Genomic DNA, 20256 nt, shown 5'->3' with positions numbered 1-20256 from the left:
CTCGAACTCCTGGCCTCAAGTGATCTGCCCGTCTTGGCCTCCCAAAGTGCTGGAGCCATTCATTTATTAATTTGTTCATTCATTTATTCATATCTGCAGTTATTGGGCACTCTTTGCTATGGCCATTTCCAGGGACAGAGAGAAGGAGGCAGGGTCCCTGTCCCATGTCTAGAAGGGGAGTCAGGTATACAAGCAGGTGTAACCACATAGGGTGAGACGTGCCCCATAGAGGGGAATTGCTGTGTTTCCGTGAACTCCGCTTGTCCTAGCTTCCCTATCCTAGTCAGTGACATCATCACCCACCCAGTTACTCAGCTCAGAAAATGCAGAGTCATCCTGCTGTTCCCAGCTCAGGCCTGGCTCCCTGTTGGCCATGGTGTCCCATCCTCACCTCACAACTCTCTCCCAGGCCACCACTTCAGCCCTGAGGCCAGTTCTGCTCTATCCAGCATTCACACTGCCACAAAAGAGAGCTCCTTCAAACTACTCGATGCCCAGACACAGGAAAAAGAAGGAAGGAATGTGGCCTGAGGGAATTGTCTGTATGGAGAAAGACCGAAAAACAAAGTTGGAAAATGAAAAAGTAACTGGGAAAATGCATTCACAACACCTGTGCCAAGGCCTCTTCCCATGTTTATGAAAAGCTCACACAAACCAGGAAGGCCAAGACTGCAGACAAGAATAGGCAAAGGATAGGAACAGCCAGTTCCTAAGAAACAAGAAGGAGAACAAGAAGCAACCACGAAATATAGGGAAGGATGTGGTCTTTGTCTGTTCTGTGCTGCTCTAACTGAACACTTGAGACTGGGTGATTTAACAGAGTAGAGAGATTTACTTCTGAGAATTCTGGAGGCTGGGAAGTCCAGGGTTAGGGGGCTGCATCTGGCGAGGGCCTTCATGCTGCAGCATCCCATGGCAGGAGGTGGAAGGGTAGAGAGGGGAGTGGGGGGAGAGAGAGAGACAGAGAAGGAAGGGGACCAAACTCATCCTTTTATCAGGAACCCACTCCCTCCATAACTGCAATAACTAACCCACTCCCCTGGTAATGGCATTAATCTATAAGGCCATTAATCTCTGCCTTTGTGACCTAATCTCCTCTTAACGGTCCCATCTCTCAACAGTATTGCATTGGAGATTACGTTTCCAAAACATGAACTTTGGGGGATACATTCAAACTACAACAGAAGTTCAATTTTACTCATAATTAAATAAACGGAAACTGAAGCAACAGAGAGATCTGTTTCAACTATGAAGAAAGACAAAAGGGCCAGGCATGGTGGCTCACAGCTATAATCCCAACACTTTGGGAGGTCAGGGCAGGAGGATAGCTTGAGCCCAGCAGTTTGAGACCAGCCTGGGCAACATTGTGAGACCTCATCTCTACAAAAAATGCAAAAATTAGCCAGGTATGGTGGCACACACGTGTAGTCTGAGCTACTCGGGAGGCTGAGGTGGGAGGATCACTTGGGCCTACGAGTTCAAGGCTGCAGTGAGCCATCAGTGGTGATCACACCATTGCACTCCAGTCTTGGTGACAGAATGAGACCCTATCTCAAAAAAAAAAAAAAAAGGAAAGGCCGGGTGCAGTGGCTCACACCTGTCATCCCAGCAGTTTGGGAGGCTGAGGCAGGTGGATCACTTGAAGTCAAGAGTTCGAGACCAGCTGTCCAGCATGGTGAAACCCCATCTCTACTAAAAATACAGAAATTAGCAGGGTGTGGTGGTGGGTGCCTGTAATCTCAGCTACTTGGGAAGCTGAGGCAGGAGAATCACTTGAATCCAGGAAGCAGAGGTTTCAGTGAGCCGAGATCATGCCATTGCACTCCAGCCTGGGTGACAAGAGCAAAACTCCATTTCAAAAAAAAAAAAAAAAGATAAAAAAAGGAAAACAACAACAACAAACAAACTTTGATGGTGTCATTGCTAGTAGATGTATAAGGGGAAAGATATTCTTAGTCATGATTAGGGCAAGTGATAATTTGTAGAACTTTTCAAGGTGACTTTTTTTTTAACTGTGGAAAATTCCAGATGTACACAAAAGTAGAGAGAATAGCAAAATGAGCTCCCATATGCCCATCACCCGGTTTTGATAATTGTCAACATGATGCCATTTTGATTTCTTCTCTCTCCCGCTGCCAGTTTTTATGGAAGAAGTAAGAATACTTTAAAGCAAACTCCAAGTATCATTTCATTTTACTCTGGAAGAAAATTTGGCAGTGGCTCTCGAAGTATAAAAGGATTTACCCTTTAACCCAGTCATCCCACTGCTAAACTTTCCCCTGAAGATGTATTTGCAAAAGTTCACCATGCTTTACATCCAGGGAGGTTTATGACACTATTGCTTGGAAAAGCAAAAAGCCTTGGAGACCAGAGAGGTTGTTGTCAGGGACGAAGTAGATAAATTATAGCTCATCGTCATGACGGATTAAAAAGAATGAGGTGGCTTTCCAAGAGATATTATTAACTGGGAGACCGAAGCATTGGAGATATCGATAATATCCCTTTTGTTTGATTAAAATCTATATAAATAGACACATTAAGAACAAAACAGCACACAACCATGCTTGGATGACTCCCTATTAATACAGGATAAAGTCCAAACTCTTCAGCACCCTGTCATGGTGGTCTTCCTTTTCAACCTTTGTCCCAGTCATTTCTTCCACTTGTATGACCTATGAATTGGCCCAGAGATTTCCAAAATGGTGTCCCAGGAACCCTAGCTCCACCTGCTTCTCCTGGAAGTGGCTCCATGTCCATATGAATTTGGGAAACACAGCATCACACTGTGCATTGGCTTGTTCCAAGCTCTGAGAAGTTTGCAGTGCAACAAGCAAACAAAAACTGTCTGTCGAAGACATGAGGCTCCCAGGCCCATGGGGCTGTGGATCACGGTTCTCAGTTCTGCTCTTAAGAGCACCACAGGGGCCTTAAGAGGCCCCTGTGCATCAGGGATGAGAACCTCCCTATACATCAGGGATGAGAACCTCTGCTCTGAGGGTCAGCCCTGTCCCTTCCTGACTTGATGTGGCTTGACTCTCTCCTTTGCCCACTCCACCCCAGCCACACAGGCTCTTCTTTCTGTTCCCCAGAACGGAATACCTCGGTCCAGCCTCAGGGCCCTTGGACCAACTGTCACCTCAGCCTGGAGTGTCCTTCCCTGCACGTGGCTGGCTCTTTACATAGTTCAGTTCCCCCCTTAACTGTCACCTGGGAGAGGCCTTCCCCAGCCTCTCGAAGCACTCATAGTCCCCTTTGTATTTCCTTGGAGAATGGACCATCCACTGGTTTGTTGATTGCCCATTTCTCCTGCTAGAATGTCTGTTCCACGAGAGCAAAAATGTGGTTTGTGGTGTTTATTCCCAGAGACTGAGACAGTACCTGGCACAGAGTAGGTGCTCAACTAACAGGAGATAAAGAAATGCGTTTCTTTGCAAGATCCATTTTCCATAGCACTCCTACTGCATCCCCCTGGAAATGCTGATGCAGCTATGGGTCTCTGGGTGTTCCCCAAACACACCAGGTGCATTCCCGTGTCTACCTGGACGATTTTCCACCTTGTCTTCTCAGCCTGGCAAAGTGCTGCCCTGGCTTCGAAACCCAGCTTTGCTGTCCCTCCCTGTGAAACTATCCTCCGAGGCCTGGTCTGAATGAGTTGCTCCCTCCCTGGGCCTCCCAAGGTGCCTGTACACACATACCTTTGTCACTGCACGAGTAACATTGCGCTGCACTGAACTGTTTTGTGTGTGTCTCACTCACGGCCTGCTCTCACTAAGGGCAGGGCTTGGCTGACTCAGTACTGAATTCTGAGCACCCAGCTCTGTGACTGCACACAATGAACCCAACAATTAGGTGCTGAATGAAATCCAACTCTGGGCTCTTACTGCCTGCGTCCATTCAGCAAGCATCAATAGGGCAACTACTGTGTACGAAGCACTGAGTCAGACCTTGTAGTAGGTCCAAAGATGAACAGAAAACCACCTTTTGGCTGTAAAGGATTATCAATTGAGAAGGGGAGCAGATCCGCCTCTCAGTAATTCTTTTTTTTTGTTGCTGTTGTTGAGATGGAGTTTTGCTTTGTTGCCCAGACTGGAGTGCAGTGGCACAATCTCAGCTCACTGTAACCTCCGCCTCCTGGGTTCAAGTGATTCTCCTGCCTCAGCCTCCCAAGTAGCTGGGATTACAGGCTCTTGCCATCACACCTGGCTAATTTTTTTTTTTTTTTGAGACGGGGTCTTGCTCTGTCTCCCAGGCAGGAGTGCAGTGGCGCGATCTCGGCTCACTGCAAGCTCCGCCTCCCAGGTTCATGCCATTCTCCTGCCTCAGGCTCCTGAGTAGCTGGGACTACAGGCGCCCGCCACCATGCCCGGCTAATTTTTTTTTGTTTTTTAGTAGAGATGGGGTTTCACTGTGTTAGCCAGGATGGTCTCGATCTCCTGACCTCGTGATCCACTTGCCTCGGCCTCCCAAAGTGCTGGGATTACAGGCTTGAGGCATCGCGCCCGGCCCACACCTGGCTAATTTTAGTATTTTTAGTAAAGATGGGGTTTCACCATGTTGGCCAGGCTGGTCTTGAACTCCTGACCTCAGGTGATCCACCTGGCTCAGCCTCCCAAAGTGCTGGGATTACAGGCGTGAGCCACTGCGCCTGGCCCCGCCTCCCAATAATTCTAACACGAGTGTGAGAGGCTAGCACCTCTGGTGCTAGAATGAGCTAGGGGAGTGCGTTCATTTTCCATTACTGCTGTAACAAATTATCAAAAACTTGGGGGATTAAAGCAACACACATTTATCCTCTTACAATTCTGAAGCCAGAGGTCCAACATGGGTCTTAGGGTGCTAAGACTGAGGTGTCAGCAGGGCTGTGTTCCTTCTGCAGGCTCCAGGAGAGACTTGTTCCTTGCCTTTTTCGGCTTCTGGAGGCTGCCGCACTCCTTGGCTCAGGGCCGCGCGTCAGTCTGACCTCTGCTTCTCTGGTTATGTCTCCTTCTCGGGCATTGACTCCTGTCTCCTTCCTGTTAAGATCCCTTGTGAACCACAGCCTCACATCCGCAAAGTCCTTTTTGCCCTATAAGGTGCATATTTCCAGGTTCTGGGGATTCAGATATGGACATATTTGGGGTTTATTATTTTTTAGCTTTTATTTTTTGAGACGGAGTCTCGCTCTGTCGCCCAGGCTGGAGTGCAGTGGCGCGATCGATCTTGGTTTACTGCAAGCTCCGCCTCCCAGGTTCACACCATTGTCCTGCCTCAGCCTCCCCAGTAGCTGGGACCACAGGCACCCGCCACCACGCCCGGCTAATTTTTTGTGTTTTTAGTAGAGACAGGGTTTCACTGTGTTAGCCAGGATGGTCTCCATCTCCTGACCTCGTGATCTGCCCACCTCGGCCTCCCAAAGTGCTGAGATTACAGGCTTGAGCCATCGCACCCAGCATATTTGGGGTTTATTATTCTGCCTACCACAGGCAGGGCAGGATGACTTCTCATGGCAGGGAGGCTTTGCCCAGCCAGCTTTTGGAGTCACCGAAGCTTTATTGAATCACTAGTTACTACAAGGCCTGTGACAGCTACATATTGACTCATTTAATCTCATGAAGAGTTTGTTACAAAAGTCTAGTCCTGGCTGGGCTTGGTGGCTCACACCCATAATCCCAGCACTTTGGGAGGCTGAGGTGGGTGGATCGCCTGAGGTCAGGAGTTTGAGACCAGCCTGGCCAACATGGTGAAACCCAGTCTCTACTAAAAATAGAAAAAATTAGCTGGGCGCGGTGGTGGGCACTTGTAATCCCAGCTACTCTGGAGACTGAGGCAGGAGAGTCGCTTGAACCCAGGAGGCGGAGGTTGCAGTGAGCCGAGATCAAGCCATTGCACTCCAGCCTGGGCAACAAGAGTGAAACTCCGTCTCAAAAAAAAAAAAAAAAGTCTAGTCCTTTCATTCTGCAGAGGAGGAGGGTTTGAGCCTAAAAGAAGAAAAATGACTTGCCCAAGTTGGGCAAGAGTCCAGATTTGACCCCAGGTTCTTGGACTTGGAGCTCTTTGCATGACATCATAGAGTGTGATCATAGCTAACACAATGCCTGACCCTGTGGTTGTGAAGATTAGAAACTCTGGTCCCTCTCCATGAAACTTTGCTGAAAAAAGTGCGTCAACCAGAAACACTCAATAACAAGGCTCCCAGGGACCCTGGGTTCTGAGGCAGAGATGGCAGGGACCACAGTGCTGCAGGAGTTTAGTGGAGGGAGCTTGCTCCTGGCTGGCTGGAGGGCAGCTCAGCTTCCTGGATGGAGGAAGCAGGCCTGTATGGCGGGCTGGGGCTCAGGCAGAACACTCCATGGAGCCCAGGCCTCTGCAAAGGAATGCTCCTGCCCTGTTCTCCTGTTTTGCCCTTGGAAAGGATAGATGATGGCTTGCTCTGGTCCTCGTTCCCTGGTCCTCCCTCCCCTAGTCCTCTCTCCCTTGGTTCTTCTCCCATAGCCCTTCCTCTGCTGGTCCTCCCTCCCCCAGTCCTCCTCCCCTGGTCCTCTTTCCCCTGGTCTTCCTACCCTAGTCCTCCCTCTCCTCATGCCCTTCCCCTGGTCCTCCTTCCGCTGGTCTTACCTACCTAGTCCTCCGTCCCCTCTTCCTCCTCCAGCAGTCCTCCCTGCCCTGGTCCTCCTCCCTCAGTGCTCCCTGCCCTGCTTCTCCTCCCTTGTTGGTCAGTCAGGTGTGTCACACTGTGGTGGGCTGGGTGGTCAACACCAGGACAAGGAGTTGAGAGACCCCCTTCACATCAGGGAGAAAGAGCTCCTATGTCAAGGGAGCCCCCAATCTGAGGGGGAGACATGGCTGCTACCTTGAGGAAGTGTCCAATTTAAGGGAAGAGACACAGTCTCTGTTTTGGGGAGCCTGGCCTCATCTGCCCCTGGAGAAAGCCACTCAAGAGCATTGCAGAGCAGGCGCGAATGAGCGCTCATCAACAGGGAGAAACCAGCCTCCCCAGGGCGCAGGGAGGGAGGAGCGAGCTGGTAGCTGGGTCGGGGAGGGAGGTGCAGCTGGGGGTTTGGGGTCTGCAGGGTGGGAAGGAGCCTGGAGTCCCCTTGGTGTCTCTGACTCCCATTTCCCCAGGCCCTCAGGTTGCCCTCAGCCAGGCTGCAGGGCAGAGTGGAGAGGGGGTGTGAGCCTGAAAGGGGAACCCACTGGAGTTTCTGCCTCTCACTCACCCCTATGCATCTCTCAGGCCAAGGAAGCGGTGGGGGAAGTGAAAAGAGGGAGGAAAAAGAGGGAGGGAAGGGCAGAGGGAGGGAAAGACAGAGGGAAGGACAGAGGGACGAAGCCGTCTGGTCAAGACTCCTCTCACAGGAGTCTTCACCCTGTGAGAGGCAGTGAGGTGTCCCACGGGTGACCCCCGAGGCCTGGGTTTCCTGTCCGTGATGTCCTCCCCACTCATTCCCACTGGTCCCCAGCCTTCCCTCCCTCCCTCCCTTGCTCTGTCCTCCCGCCCTGGGCCTCATCCGAGGCATTCAGTCCTCTAGGCCCTCTTTTGGGAAGGGCCCCTGGACAGCTGATGTGCTGCCTGGAAGGGTGGGGTGTTCCTGGGTGTCCGTATCCTACGTCTTGGATCCGCCACAGGCTGACAGTTCCTGGAAACCAGTCAGAGGTGAGTGAGGGGTGCAGAGGGGAAGAAAGGCTGGGTCCACTTACCCCTGGGTAGGGGAGCCCCTGGCCAAGCCCTGGGTATACAGGGGGTGCTGGGGGATCCCCTTACCTCTGTCTCTTCAAACTGGGGCAGAGGCTCAGGGCACCCAGCAATGTTCCGAATCTCCCAGGGCCCTGGGAAGGTGGAGGGTGGGAGGATCTGGGTGGGGCCGCCTGGGGCCTCAGGATAGAGGCAGGAAACAGAATAGAGGAAGCAGGATTCCACCTGTGGAGGCGGCAGGTGTGGCTGGGTGAGGGTGCACTTCTCAGGCGATGCTGGGCCAGGGGTGGGAGTGCCTGGGGGTGAGCGAGGGGCAGGAGATCTGTGACCTCCAAGGGCCCTGCAGGTGACAGGGGCTCTGTGTCTGAGGGGTGAATGGAAAGGACCCCAGTGGGTCTTAGTGACAGGGGACTAGGGGTGGAATGAGGGTCTCTGGGGTTCTCTCCTCATCAGCGAAGCCAAGGTCTCAGCTGGGAGCCCGTTCTGGGCTCCAGGGCCTCTCACTTTCCCTGACCACCTGATACTGACCCTTTTCCTTGAGGGGAAGGGTAGGTGGCCATGTCCCTTTCCTGGGACCTTGTCTCCTCCCCAGTCACTGCTCAGGCTCCATGACCCTAACAATTCAGCAAGCACTCACAGAGCACCTGCTGCATACAGCCCGCGCTGGTTCTGGGCAGGGGTGTGGGGTATGGGGTGGGCACCATCCTAAGGGTTGACAGTTAATCCTTGCGGGGGCTCGTAGGAGCCAAGGCCAGCTGGGCAGACGGGGCATGACCTTGTCTTTTTGTTTTTTCTTTTGTTTTTTTGAGATGGAGCCTCGCTCTGTTGCCCAGGCTGGAGGGCTGTGGGACGATCTCAGCTCACTGCAACCTCCACCTCCCGGGTTCAAGCGATTCTCCTGCCTCAGCCTCCTGACTACCTGGGATTACAGGTACTACCACGCCTGGCTTATTTTTGTATTTTCAGTAGAGTCGGGGTTTCACCATGTTGGCCAGGCTGGTCTCAAATTCCTGACCTCAAGTGATCTGCCTGCCTCGGCCTCCCAAAGTGTTGGGATTACAGGTGTGAGCCACTGATCCTGTCCAGACCTTGTCAACCTTGTCAATATCAATATGCATCTATTGGCTGGGCGTGGTGACTCACTCCTATAATCCCAGCACTTTGGGAGGCAGAGGCAGGAGGACTGCTTGAGCCCAGGAGCCTGAGACCAGCCTGGGTAATATAGTGAGACCCCATCTCTATTTAAAGTAAAAAAAAATGCATCTATTGAACATCTCCTTTCCATAGGGCCCCAGATCATTCTACGCCCTCTGCCTCCCCACAACATAGTAGGGGTGATATTAGGGGACACTGTCCCCAAACCCTAGCTCTGCTCAAATTCCAGGCAGGTCCTGTCTGTGCTGCGCTCTCCAGCATGCTGGCTTTTCTGCACTCTCTGCAGAGGAGACTGAGGGGGAGTCAAGGTGGGGCTGGCACCCAGGGCACTGGGGGAAGCTTCAAGTTCTCCCAGCCACCTCCCTGGGCCTCCCCCTCTCCCACCTGCGCTGGGCTCCAGCAGCCTCTGGGGCTGGAAGAGCCATTGGACCTCTCCTTCTTTACCCCTTTGTCTTCCATGGGGGCCAAGCTGCTGCCGCTGCCGGGGCTGCAGGCCTGGGCTGCCCCTTGCGGGTGCCAGGGATCTCTCCCTGCTGGGGGTGGAGGACAGGCCCAGACAGGATGTGCCACAGCCCAGAGGACCTCTGTGTGGCCCTCCAGCCGGCCCCTGTCAAGCCTTCCTCCCTGGCTGGGAGAGTGGGAGCTGCCGAGGCCCTGGCTTCAGGCCCGGCTCTGATGCCAACATTGGGTTGCCCGACTGCCCGCTGCTCAAGCACCCTGTGTCTTGGTGTCCTCAAGGCACTGTTGTGAGGGTCTCAGGAGGAATGTTTGCATTTTCCTAGCCCTGGCCAGGGAGTGGCCCCACGCTCTGGAGGGCCAGGGAGGCCTTCCTGGGGTCCCACTTCTATCTCTGCTGAGATCTGAGCTGTGCCCTCCTGCCCGGCTGGCCCAGCTGGCCCGGCCTGTCCTCAGCATGTGAGGCTTCTCTGGGTTGGGGGCTAGAGGGGGATTCACAGGCAGTAGAGCCTCTAACGAGCAGTAGCAAAGGGGCCTGGGGGGGGGGTCAGTGGCGTGGGGAAACTGAGGCCCAGAGAGGAAGAGGAGCAGGCTCGCGGCCCAAAGCCTGTCAGGGGTGAGGAAGCTTGTGGGGGCTAAATGGTGGTATTGGGGGTTGGAGGCCTTGGTGATTTTAGAGGCAGAAAGAAGAGTAATAAACTCTCTGCTCCTTCAAATTGGGCCTCAAGACTAAGGTCTGGGTACTCTGGAAGTGGGGTTCCCAGGCAGGGTGAGCACTGGCGGTGTGGGCTCTACGGGGAGGCAGAGGGGTGGTGGCACCCCACGACCTGGCCCCCTCCCTAGGGCCCTGGCTTTGCCCCACATTTGCTGCTGGAAGGCGGGGCAGTCCCTTTTGTGAGCCCAGAGTGAGGCCCACCTGGGTAGCCCAGCTGGCCTAGGGGAGGATGGGGCCTGGGAAGGGAGGGGTTGTTAGGAGAGGATGGGGATGGGGAGGGTCTTGGTTTCGTGTCTCTTCGTGTGTGAGTGCCTGCTGGTGCAGTCTTGACTCTGGCGGCTCAGGTGAGCACGGGTTTTACTGGGTCTCTCTCCTCCCCGAAGACAGTCCTGGATTGCCAGGAAGTCCTTCCAGATGTCTAACCTCGTGCTCATGGTGGTCTGACCTTGCTCTCTAGCCTTGGTTTTGAACCTCCCCCCATCCCCGCCCAGCACCTTCACAGGCTGGGCGGGAGCAGTAAAATCAGGGCTCAACCGCTCTCTTCCAGATAGCTCCTGCCATTCCCAGCTGGCACAGTCCCCAGCTGGCACTTTCCGTGAGAGACCACCCACTATCTGAGCAGGAAGTCTTTCCAGCAGTGTGGTCTCATCTGGGAGCTCTGGGCCACATGGAAAACCCAACTCCCTCCCTGTCCCCGTATGCGGGCAGAGAGCCCAGGCCACCCATGCACTTCTCTCCCCTCTCCTGTTCCGCGGGCCCTGGCTGCCCTGGGAAGCTCCACATTCAGACAGGCCTGGTGCAGACGCCGGTGTCCTGGCAGCACCTAAATCATTAGTGCCGCGGAGATTAGGATACTAATCTCCTTGTTGGGTGGAGCGGTGCCAGCCACCAGCCTGCGGATCATGCTGCTCTTTTGCAGGGGCCGTTCCTCGGGGCATGACGCTGGCTCCTGCACAGATCCTGCTCCTCTGTGGCCTTCCTGGGCTGCCCTCCCCTCCTCCGGGACTGCTCTGGACTGACATTGCTCAGGTTCGGGTGAGGAGGGAGGCTGCCCTAACCCTTTGGCCTCAGACCCCTGCTCCCAGCCCCACCTCTGCTTCCTGTTTTGTTAGAGCCTTACTGACGTCATTATCTCTCCAGATTCCCTCAAAGACTTTGGGAGACAAGACTTGGTCCCCCTTTTACAAACGAGGGAACGGAGGCTCTAGAACTGACTTCCTGAAAGGCTTGGATCCAAAGCTCCCTCAGTTCAGCGGCCACGTCTATTTCCCTCAGACACAGGGATCCTTGAACCTGTGGGCTGTATCTCCCCGCGGACTTGGAAGAATCCCAAGAGAGTGGGGCTCCCACAGGTCAGAGGCTAATTCTGCCTCCTCTGACTGGGAGTCTCCACCAGGGCCACGTTGTACCTGGGCAATGATGTCAGGCCCCGATCTCTCCACCCTTACCCCAGGGCCCTGGAATGCTGGGTGAGGGGCCAGGCCAGCCTCCGGCTCCTGGCCTGTGCAGCCTTGTCCTGTGCCCGTGCTGGCTCCCAGGGCTGGGTTCTCCGGGCTCCCCACAAGAATAAGCTCAGCCTCCTAACTGTGGCTGAGGATGGAGGGTCACCCTACCCCAGGGCTACAGACCAGCACCACCTTTGTTTCTTTCTTTCTTTTTTGAGACAGATTTTTACTCTTGTTGCCCAGGCTGGAGTGCAATGGTGTGATCTCGGCTCACTGCAACCTCCACCTCCCAGGTTCAAGCTATTCTCCTGCCTCAGCCTCCTGAGTAGCTGGGATTACAGGTTCGTGACACCACGCCCAGCTAATTTTTGTATTTTTAGTAGAGATGGGGTTTTGCTATGTTGGCCAGTCTGGTCTCAAACTCCTGACCTCAGGTGGTTCACCTGCCTCTGCCTCTCAAAGTGCTGGGATTACAGGCGTGAGCCACCGTGCCTGGCCACCACCTTTGTGTCTGAACAGACCGCTGAGGCCCTGGTGCTCAGGCTGGGCTCTTGCTATGGAGGGGTCCTTGGGGAGGCTCTCAATATGTCCAGCCTGAGCCCCAGGCCCTGGGTGGGTGGGAGGAGGCAAAATACACTCCTGGGGTTTTGGCCTGAACTTCAAGGGCCAGGGTCCCAGCCCCACTTCAGCCCGGCTGTAACGGGCTACCCAGGGTCTCCATCCAGACCAGACTCTTCACCCGACCCATGGACACCCTGGTTGTCACCACTACCAGCATCTGCCAGTTCTCCACCTCTGGCTCTGTCAAGGGCCTGTGGACACCTGGCGGGGGTTTCTCCTGGATGTCATCTGTCAGTGTTGGGGGTGCCTTTCGCCAGCCTCCTGGGAGTCAGCAGCTGTGGCAACATGTCGGTCACCTCCTCCTGCTTCTTGGTGGGACTTGGGGGAGGCTACAGCGGTGGCTACACCTGTAACCTGGGTGGGGGCTTTGGCTCCAGCGTTGACGTGGCGGATGCCCTGCTGCGGGGGCGGTGAAAAGACCATGCAGAACCTTACTGACCACACACACAGCACACACATACACACAAACACCACACACAACCACACACACACATACACACACACAAACACCACACACACCACACACACCATCACACACATACACACAAACACCACACACACACCACACACGTACACACACAAACACCACACACACCCCACACACATCACACACATACACACACAGAAACACCACACACACACCACACACAGCACACACGTACACACACACAAACACCACACACCATACACATCACACACTACCCCAAACGCCACGCGCCCCACTCACACCTCACACTCCCAGATTCACACACAGGCGCATGCCCACCGATCGATACACACACACTAAAAGACTCCTATATACACATTCACACATAGCTCACAGGCACATCCACATACACACATACTACATACACACACACATACCACACACCTACACATATACCCACCACACCCCCAACACCCCCTCCACACATATTAGTCACACACCCCCCCAAACCCCCCACACCCTCTCCAACACATATACACACCCACCCAAACATACCACACACCACACACACACTCATACACATCACACACTACACAAACATCACACACATACACACCACACACACCACACATACACGCGCACGTACACGCACACACACCACACACACACCACACACATCAGAGACACACAGCACACACACATCACACACATATACACACACAAACACCACACAGACCATACACATACACACATACACGCCACACACACATCACGCACACACCACATATACATCACAGACACACGCAAACACCACACACACACTCCAAACACATCACACACATACACAAACACCACACACACCACACACATACTCACCATACACACCATAGATACATCACACACACACTCACCACACACACCACACACACATACACATACACACAGACACCACACACACACCCCACACCACACATGCCACACATATTCCACACGCACCACACACATACACACTACACACACACCATACACATATATACCCACAACCACCCATGTACCACACACCACACACACCACACGCATATACACACCACACACACAATACACACAGATCTCACACACACATACACACCACACACACATATACACCACACCACATGCATACCACACACCACACACACCACATACACACATACTACATACACATAAACACCACACACATCACACACCACACACCACACACACATCACACACCACACACACACACACATACACACACACTCTCTCTCATGACCTCTAAGAACATGGCTTTGGCATTCTGTAAACATGGCCACTTTGTCTTCTGCACAAACCCTGCCCTGGAGGGTCCTACAGAGCAAAGCCACCAGTGGCAGGTGAGGAGTGCAAGTGATGAGTATGGTGGCCAGGGGGGCCAGGGGAGCCAGGGGAGGCAGGCGGGAGTCAGGTTAGGCCCAGCTGGCCCTGGTGGTTAGGCCTGCTCAGTTTCCTGGGTGGAGAGCCAGGCCTGGTGCTGCCTACGAGGGGCTTTGTCTGCTCCTGCCCGGGACCTCCACTAGGCGGGAATTCCTGCAATCTCCCCTTGGAAGCAGAAATACTGGCAGTGCCAGATCAGATATTGGGGTTGGTTCTGGCAGCGGGGAACCCAGGGGAGCCCTGGTGAGTCAGTGCTCCTGATCTTCGGGATCAGCCAGCACCTCATCACCAACCCCGCCGCGCAGCACGCACCAGGGCTGTGCCTCGAGTCACCCTACACGCATTCTCTCCGTGTTTTCACAGCCGACCCTCGCTGTGCCCCCAAAGCCTCCCGAGCAAGGAGATGGGGGCTGGGTGGGTCTCTGCCGGATGCAGATGGGCCCACTGAGGCAGAGGAGGGGGTGCTGGGAACAAACTGGCCCTCAGCTCAGCTTGACCCAGGGTCACTTCACAGAACTTAGGGCCTCGAGTGGGGTCTTGGGGAGGGGGTGCACAGGATGAGCCTGCAGGGTCTACTAGGGTGTCCTGGGGCTTATCCCTCTAAGGTCATGTGCAGTCAGCCCTGAGCCTCAGCAAATTCCAGATTCTACACGCTCATGTGCCGCCTTCACAAGTGTTTCAACCTCTGGGTGGCTGGAGGGGCCTCACTCTTTGGTGCATGCCCATGGCCTCAATTGGAAACCCTCTTGGGCATTTCCAACCATGCCAATGACAGCGGCAGTAATCACAACCAACCTTCTGCTCCTTCTGGGCCCCTCCCTCCGTGTTTGCATTGGAACCGCCCAGATGACCTTGTGGGAAAAGAAAGCTTTGCCCTGGGTTTGAGGTGAGGCCAGTCATAACCTCATTAATTAATTAACAAATCACTTAATTAAACTAACGAACCCTTGGGGCCAACTCTGGGCCAGGGCACTGTGCCCAGGGCTGGGGATTCCAAAGAGAATGAAACAGACATGGCCTTGTCTCCCTGGAGCTCAGAGTCCAGTGGAGGAGGAAATAACCAAAAAAGTCATAGAAATAGGTATAAATTCACAACCTGGAGAAGGGAGGAGGTATGATCTGGAAAAGAGACGCAGAAAGGGAATCCAAGAGGGCTTTCTGGAGGAGGTGGCAGCTGAGCCTAGAGGTGAATTTAGTTGGGGAAGAGGGAGTGAGGCCTAGGCAGCTTAGGCCATGACCCCCATGGTGGGAGACAGCTGCATAAGGGTCTCTCTCCTGGCATCCATGTTTACCCATGCCTGGGCATCCTACCCCCATCATCCTTTAACCCCCTGAGGGCCTTGGCTGGGTCCCAGAAATTCCCAGGAGGGTGCTCAGAGAAGACCACGGGGACTCTCATCACCCTCACCCTGGCTCCCCAGAAATTCCCAGGAGGGTGCTCAGAGAAGACCACGGGGACTCTCATCACCCTCACCCTGGCTCCCCAGAAATTCCCAGGAGGGTGCTCAGAGAAGACCACGGGGACTCTCATCACCCTCACCCTGGCTCCCCAGAAATTCCCAGGAGGGTGCTCAGAGAAGACCACGGGGACTCTCATCACCCTCACCCTGGCTCCCCAGAAGTTCCCAGGGGGGTGCTCAGAGAAGACCATGGGGACTCTCATCACCCTCACCCTGGCTCACTTCCGAAAAGCCTGCAAGAAGGGTGTTGGAGGGTCTCCTGGAGGCTGCCAAGGGCATTTTCTCATGGAGACCCCGTCTCTCCCAGATCCTGGTGGCTGTGGTCGGTAATTCCAGCTTCGTGCTGGCTACAGGTGGATGATGCCCACCTGGCTGCCGATGACCTCTGCACCAAGTGAGGCTGGGTCTCTGGAGCTGCCCCAGGGGCTGGACAAGCTGACCCTGGCCGGGGCCAACCTGGAGATGCAGATTGAGAACCTCAAGGAGGACCTGGTCTACCTGAAGAAGAACCACAAGCAGGTGAGGTCAGCTCAGGGAACGCAGCAGAAATTCACCTGGAAGCAAGCGAGGCTGGGGCCCAGAACCTCCCTGGGCTGGGCTGTGCTTTCAGTCCAGTTCCCGTCTTTTATGGATGACTAGCCCTGACCCTCAGAGGACACTGCGTGAGGCCTGGAGGAGCCCCTCGTCCCAAATAGACTTCATTTGTCCCTTGAGGCTCAGCTCACTGCAGTTAACTAACTAATGAGTAACTCAGTTTAAGAACACACAATGCTAGTTATAATTAACACAATGCTTGTTATAATTAATTATAATAGTGATAGTCATTAAAACAAGGAACTTCTGCCCAGCACTACAAGTGACTCACAGCCATTATCTCAGCTGATACAACAGCTGGGAGAAAGATACTCTTACTTCCTTTTGACCTTTGAAGAAACGGAGGCTCAGAGAGGTTAAGGGATTTATCTATGGCTGCACAGGGACCCTCCTTCAGGTCTGTTGGACTCGTATCCACCCCACCTCTCTGCCCCCTCTCCTGCCTCTCCTTTCCAGAAGGCTCTAGGTCGCAGGGACTCCAAAGCTCAACCCAAGGATAGAGATCCAAGGTCCTGTGGGGCAGTCAGGAGGCCTTACATGCCCTGTCCTGTGTCTTCCTTCTCAGCCGAGCTCTGTGCTGCTCTGAGCTGGGGGAGCCTACTCCCCGAGAAGCAGGACACCCGGAAGGTGTTTCCCCCTGGCTTTGAGGCTGGTTATACAATTGCTTTCCTCCAGCAGATTAACATTTGCTAACGGGGCCTGGCGCAGTGACACAGCGTAGGGTTGCTTTCTGCATGCCTGTGCTGTGGGCTTGGTGGTGGGGGCAAGGCAGTGGTGGGGGCAAGGTCAGGGCAGTGAGTGAGGTCGCCCGTGGTCATCCTCCACCGTGCTGGGGGGTTGTCATCTCTCGGGGCTTAGCACTTGTTGGGGATGGGTGAATTCCAGTCCCGCGTCACGGTGTGTGTTGGGGGAGGTTGCTAATATTCACAGCCCTGTATGTTTGAGAAATGACAACATCCACCTCCACCTTCAGGGTGAGGAGCTGTTGGCCTATCTGTGTCTGTCTGTCTGTCATCTGTACCTGTCTCTCCGAGGGAAAGAAGGCAGGCCCCAGGGTCTTTCTCCAGGATGGCCTTGGGTGAGCTTCTGCTGTCCTCTCTGCCCAGGAAATGAACGTCCTTTGAGGTCAGGTGGATGAGGATGTCAGTGTGAAGATGGACACTGTGCCTGGAGTGAACCTGAGCTGCATCCTGAATGAGATGCGTGACCAGGACAAGACATTGGTGGAGAAGAGCTGCAAGGATGCCGAGGGCTGGTTCTTCAGCATGGTGGGTGGCCGTGCGTAAGCAGGTGTGTACACGTGTGGGCACATGTGCTGCATGCTGGTGCAGCTGGAGCACTGGCAGATCCACAGGCTGTCCCAGTTGGAAGGACTTTTGGAAACCAGTTGGACCAGCCCCTCATGTTTTAGATGTAAAACGTGAGGCTCAGAGAGGACTCAAGCTCACACAGCCCTTCACTGTGGCCTGCAAAATAGATCCAGGTCTCTACAAGTCTGGTCTTGGGTTTCCACCACAGCTGTTTACAGGATGTGCGTATTTGAATACATATGTATACCCTTGGCAAGCACAGGCTGAGTATCTCCGGTATCCTAGGGACAGCAACAGGCGCAAAAGAATAACACCCAGTGCCTGTCTTTGAGGTGCTGCAGTTCAGTAGGAAAAAGAAATGCAAATGACCGCAGAGCAGGCTGAATTCCTCCAAGTTCCAATGTGGGTGCAGAGGCTCTCTGTGTGCAGGTGCCTTTGGGGCCCCATAGAGGCCAGGGAGGGGCTAGGGGATGGTTCTGGGAGGTGAGGGTTCAGGAGCAGCCCTTTCCTGTGCCCCGCTTCTGAAAGTCTCCATAAACCCCTGTGGCCCACTCTGCCTTCCAGAAAGAGGGGCTGAACTGCGAGGTGGCCACCAACACAGAGGCCCTGCAGAGTGGCTGGATAGAGATATGGAGCTCTACGTCTCTGTGCAGAACCTGAGCCGTCCCAGCTCAGCAAGGTAGGGTCTCTGTCCCCTCCCCACCCTGTACCTGTCACCCCAGGGTGAGCCCAGCCTTGTAGACCCCTGCTTGGGGAACCAGAGTCCCCACCCAGCCTGTCCCTTCACACTCAGTGGCTGGGTGCACTACCACCTCATTGTGCTGGCAGCACCCACAGCCCCATACAGGAGGGGCTCCTCTCTAGTGCTCTGCCATGGGGAAGGGTCCCAGGTCCAGCTCATCACACCACCTATCTCTTGGCCCACAGAAAGCATCGCTGGAGGGCAGCCTGGTGGAGATGGAGGTGTGTTACAGGACCCTGCCGGCCCAGCTGCAGGGGCTTAACAGAAGCATGGAGCAGCAGCTGTGCGAGCTCTGCTGCGACACGGAGCACCAGGACCACAAGCACAGGTCCTTCTGGACGTGAAGACGTGGCTGGAGCAGGAGATCGCCACCTACCGCCGCTTGCTGGAGGTTGAGGACGCCCAGTGAGTGTGTACCAGGGTGCCTGTTGGGGTGGGCTGGGGGCCCGCTTCACCCAGGGAGAAGTTGGTGTCTGAGCACCAGCGAAATTCAGGAGGTGTGAATGTCGGAACCTGTTGGGGTTTGCAGGAGGTGATACTGACGATGCAGGCTGGAGTCTGGCTGAGGAGCCTTGAATGCCAAGTTAAAGCGTCTGGACTAGATCACGTAGGCAATGGGGAGCCATGGAGGGATTTGGAGCAGGAGAGTGAAATGAACATCAAGAGATTTTAGAACATTCACTCTGGCTGCAGAGGGAGAAATGGATCAGAGGGGTCAGGGCGGGGCCAGAGAGATGTGTCAGGGGGCTGGAGCAGGGAGTCTGGCCAGAGAAGTCCCGTGCGGTGGTGGGTAGTGGGGCAGGGGAAGGAAGGTGGTGCACGCAGAAGAGAGGTTATAGCTCAAAACAGCGGGACTGGATGCCTGGATCTCGGGGTAAGCATGGCTCACAGTCAGGACTCAGTAAGTGTCGGGAGAACACATGAAGGAGCAGGCATTGATGGCCCTGGGTTTCTGGTTCTGATGACTGTGTGAGTGGTGAAGAGCAAGGTGGGTGGTGGTTGGGTTTGCAGTTGGGAAGGGTGATCAGGCCTTCAGCTGAGAGTGTCCCGGAGTCTCCATGCTTAGTCACACGTTGCAGCTTTTTGCTCCCCGGAAATGGTGAAGTCCATCTATAGTCTAACAACAGTCTCTCCTGCTTTAATTGGGTCTATTTGTTGGGCCCTCTGGGTTATGGAAAAACCACTTGCTCAGCTTCTCCTTGTAAATTCCTGGTGAGTAGCCACAGAGTGCCGCCAGACCTACTGCTGTGCTGTTTCTTTTTCTTCTTCCTGCTGTGCTGAACCCCTGCCCTTTCATTCTTGGGCCTGCGCTAATTTCTGTGCATTCCCAACTGTGATTTTTCACCAATTTAGGGGAACCTCCTCTGCCAGGGCCTACTTCTCCCCAGCAGTGCTTGCAGGTGCCTGGGCTGGCTGGCATCCCTGGGCTGATGGGTGCTTCTCTCCCTGCAGGCTGGCCACTCAGTACTCCTTGTCCCTGGCCTCGCAGCCCACCCGGGAAGGTAAGAAGCTGCCCTGTCCTGCGGTGTGGACCCCAAGGCAGGGGAGAGGCTGAGGACCCTTCTGTGTGGGAGACTGGGGGGACCACAGACGCGGGGGCAGGCGGGGGGAAGAGCTCCTGCCTGATGTTCCCTGTGCCTCCCTCCTCCATCGCCTGCAGCCACAGTGACCAGCCACCAGGTGTGCCATCGTGGAGGAAGTCCAGGTTGGAGAGGTGGTCTTCTTCTGTGAGCAGGTCCACTTCTCCACCCACTGAGACCCCTTTCTGTCTGCGACAGCCCCACCTCGAGGGCCACGGCACAGCCATCAGCTCCAGCTCCCAGCATGCTACTGCCACGCCCCGAGTGTCCGTCTGGGCCCCGGTGCATGGCCTGTTGTCTTTCTGTATCTACTTTCTGCAGCCCCTCACTGAGGAGGCCTCCTGGGTTTGTCCAGTGCCTACTATTAAAGCTTTGCTCCAAGTTCAATGCCTCGTGTGATCTGATCTGCTCATTGGTTTGGGGCAGTGTGGGCTGAGGGACTGGGGGAGGTGGAGTTTATTGAGTGTTTGGGTATGGGCTTGTCACCTGCCAATCTGTTCTGCCCACTCCATCCAGGCCTGGGGCTCCTGGAAAGATGAGAGGGGAGGAGGCGGAAAGATTAAGGGTGGAGGGATGGGACAGCCCCTTGTATTGGGAAAAGTTTCTAAGAATCAGCCCCTGAGTCCCTGTCACCTGTGGCTGGTCCCT

General features: G+C 54.7%; 1 pseudogene across 1 annotated transcript; it reads left to right on the top strand.

Annotated features, from left to right (window-relative positions):
* KRT42P (keratin 42, pseudogene) lies at positions 6121–19993 on the top strand (annotated as a pseudogene). The gene is made up of 11 exons (NR_033415.1): positions 6121–7001; positions 7606–7633; positions 10918–11027; positions 11687–11784; positions 15690–15901; positions 17083–17244; positions 17851–17965; positions 18214–18433; positions 18558–19240; positions 19481–19530; positions 19689–19993. The product of NR_033415.1 is annotated as a keratin 42, pseudogene (transcript).

The sequence above is a fragment of the Homo sapiens genome, chromosome 17, assembly GCF_000001405.40.
Source record: "Homo sapiens chromosome 17, GRCh38.p14 Primary Assembly".
Classification (NCBI taxonomy): domain Eukaryota; kingdom Metazoa; phylum Chordata; class Mammalia; order Primates; family Hominidae; genus Homo; species Homo sapiens.
Note: the sequence above shows the minus strand (reverse complement) of the source record. Positions and strands in the feature narration are given on the sequence as shown.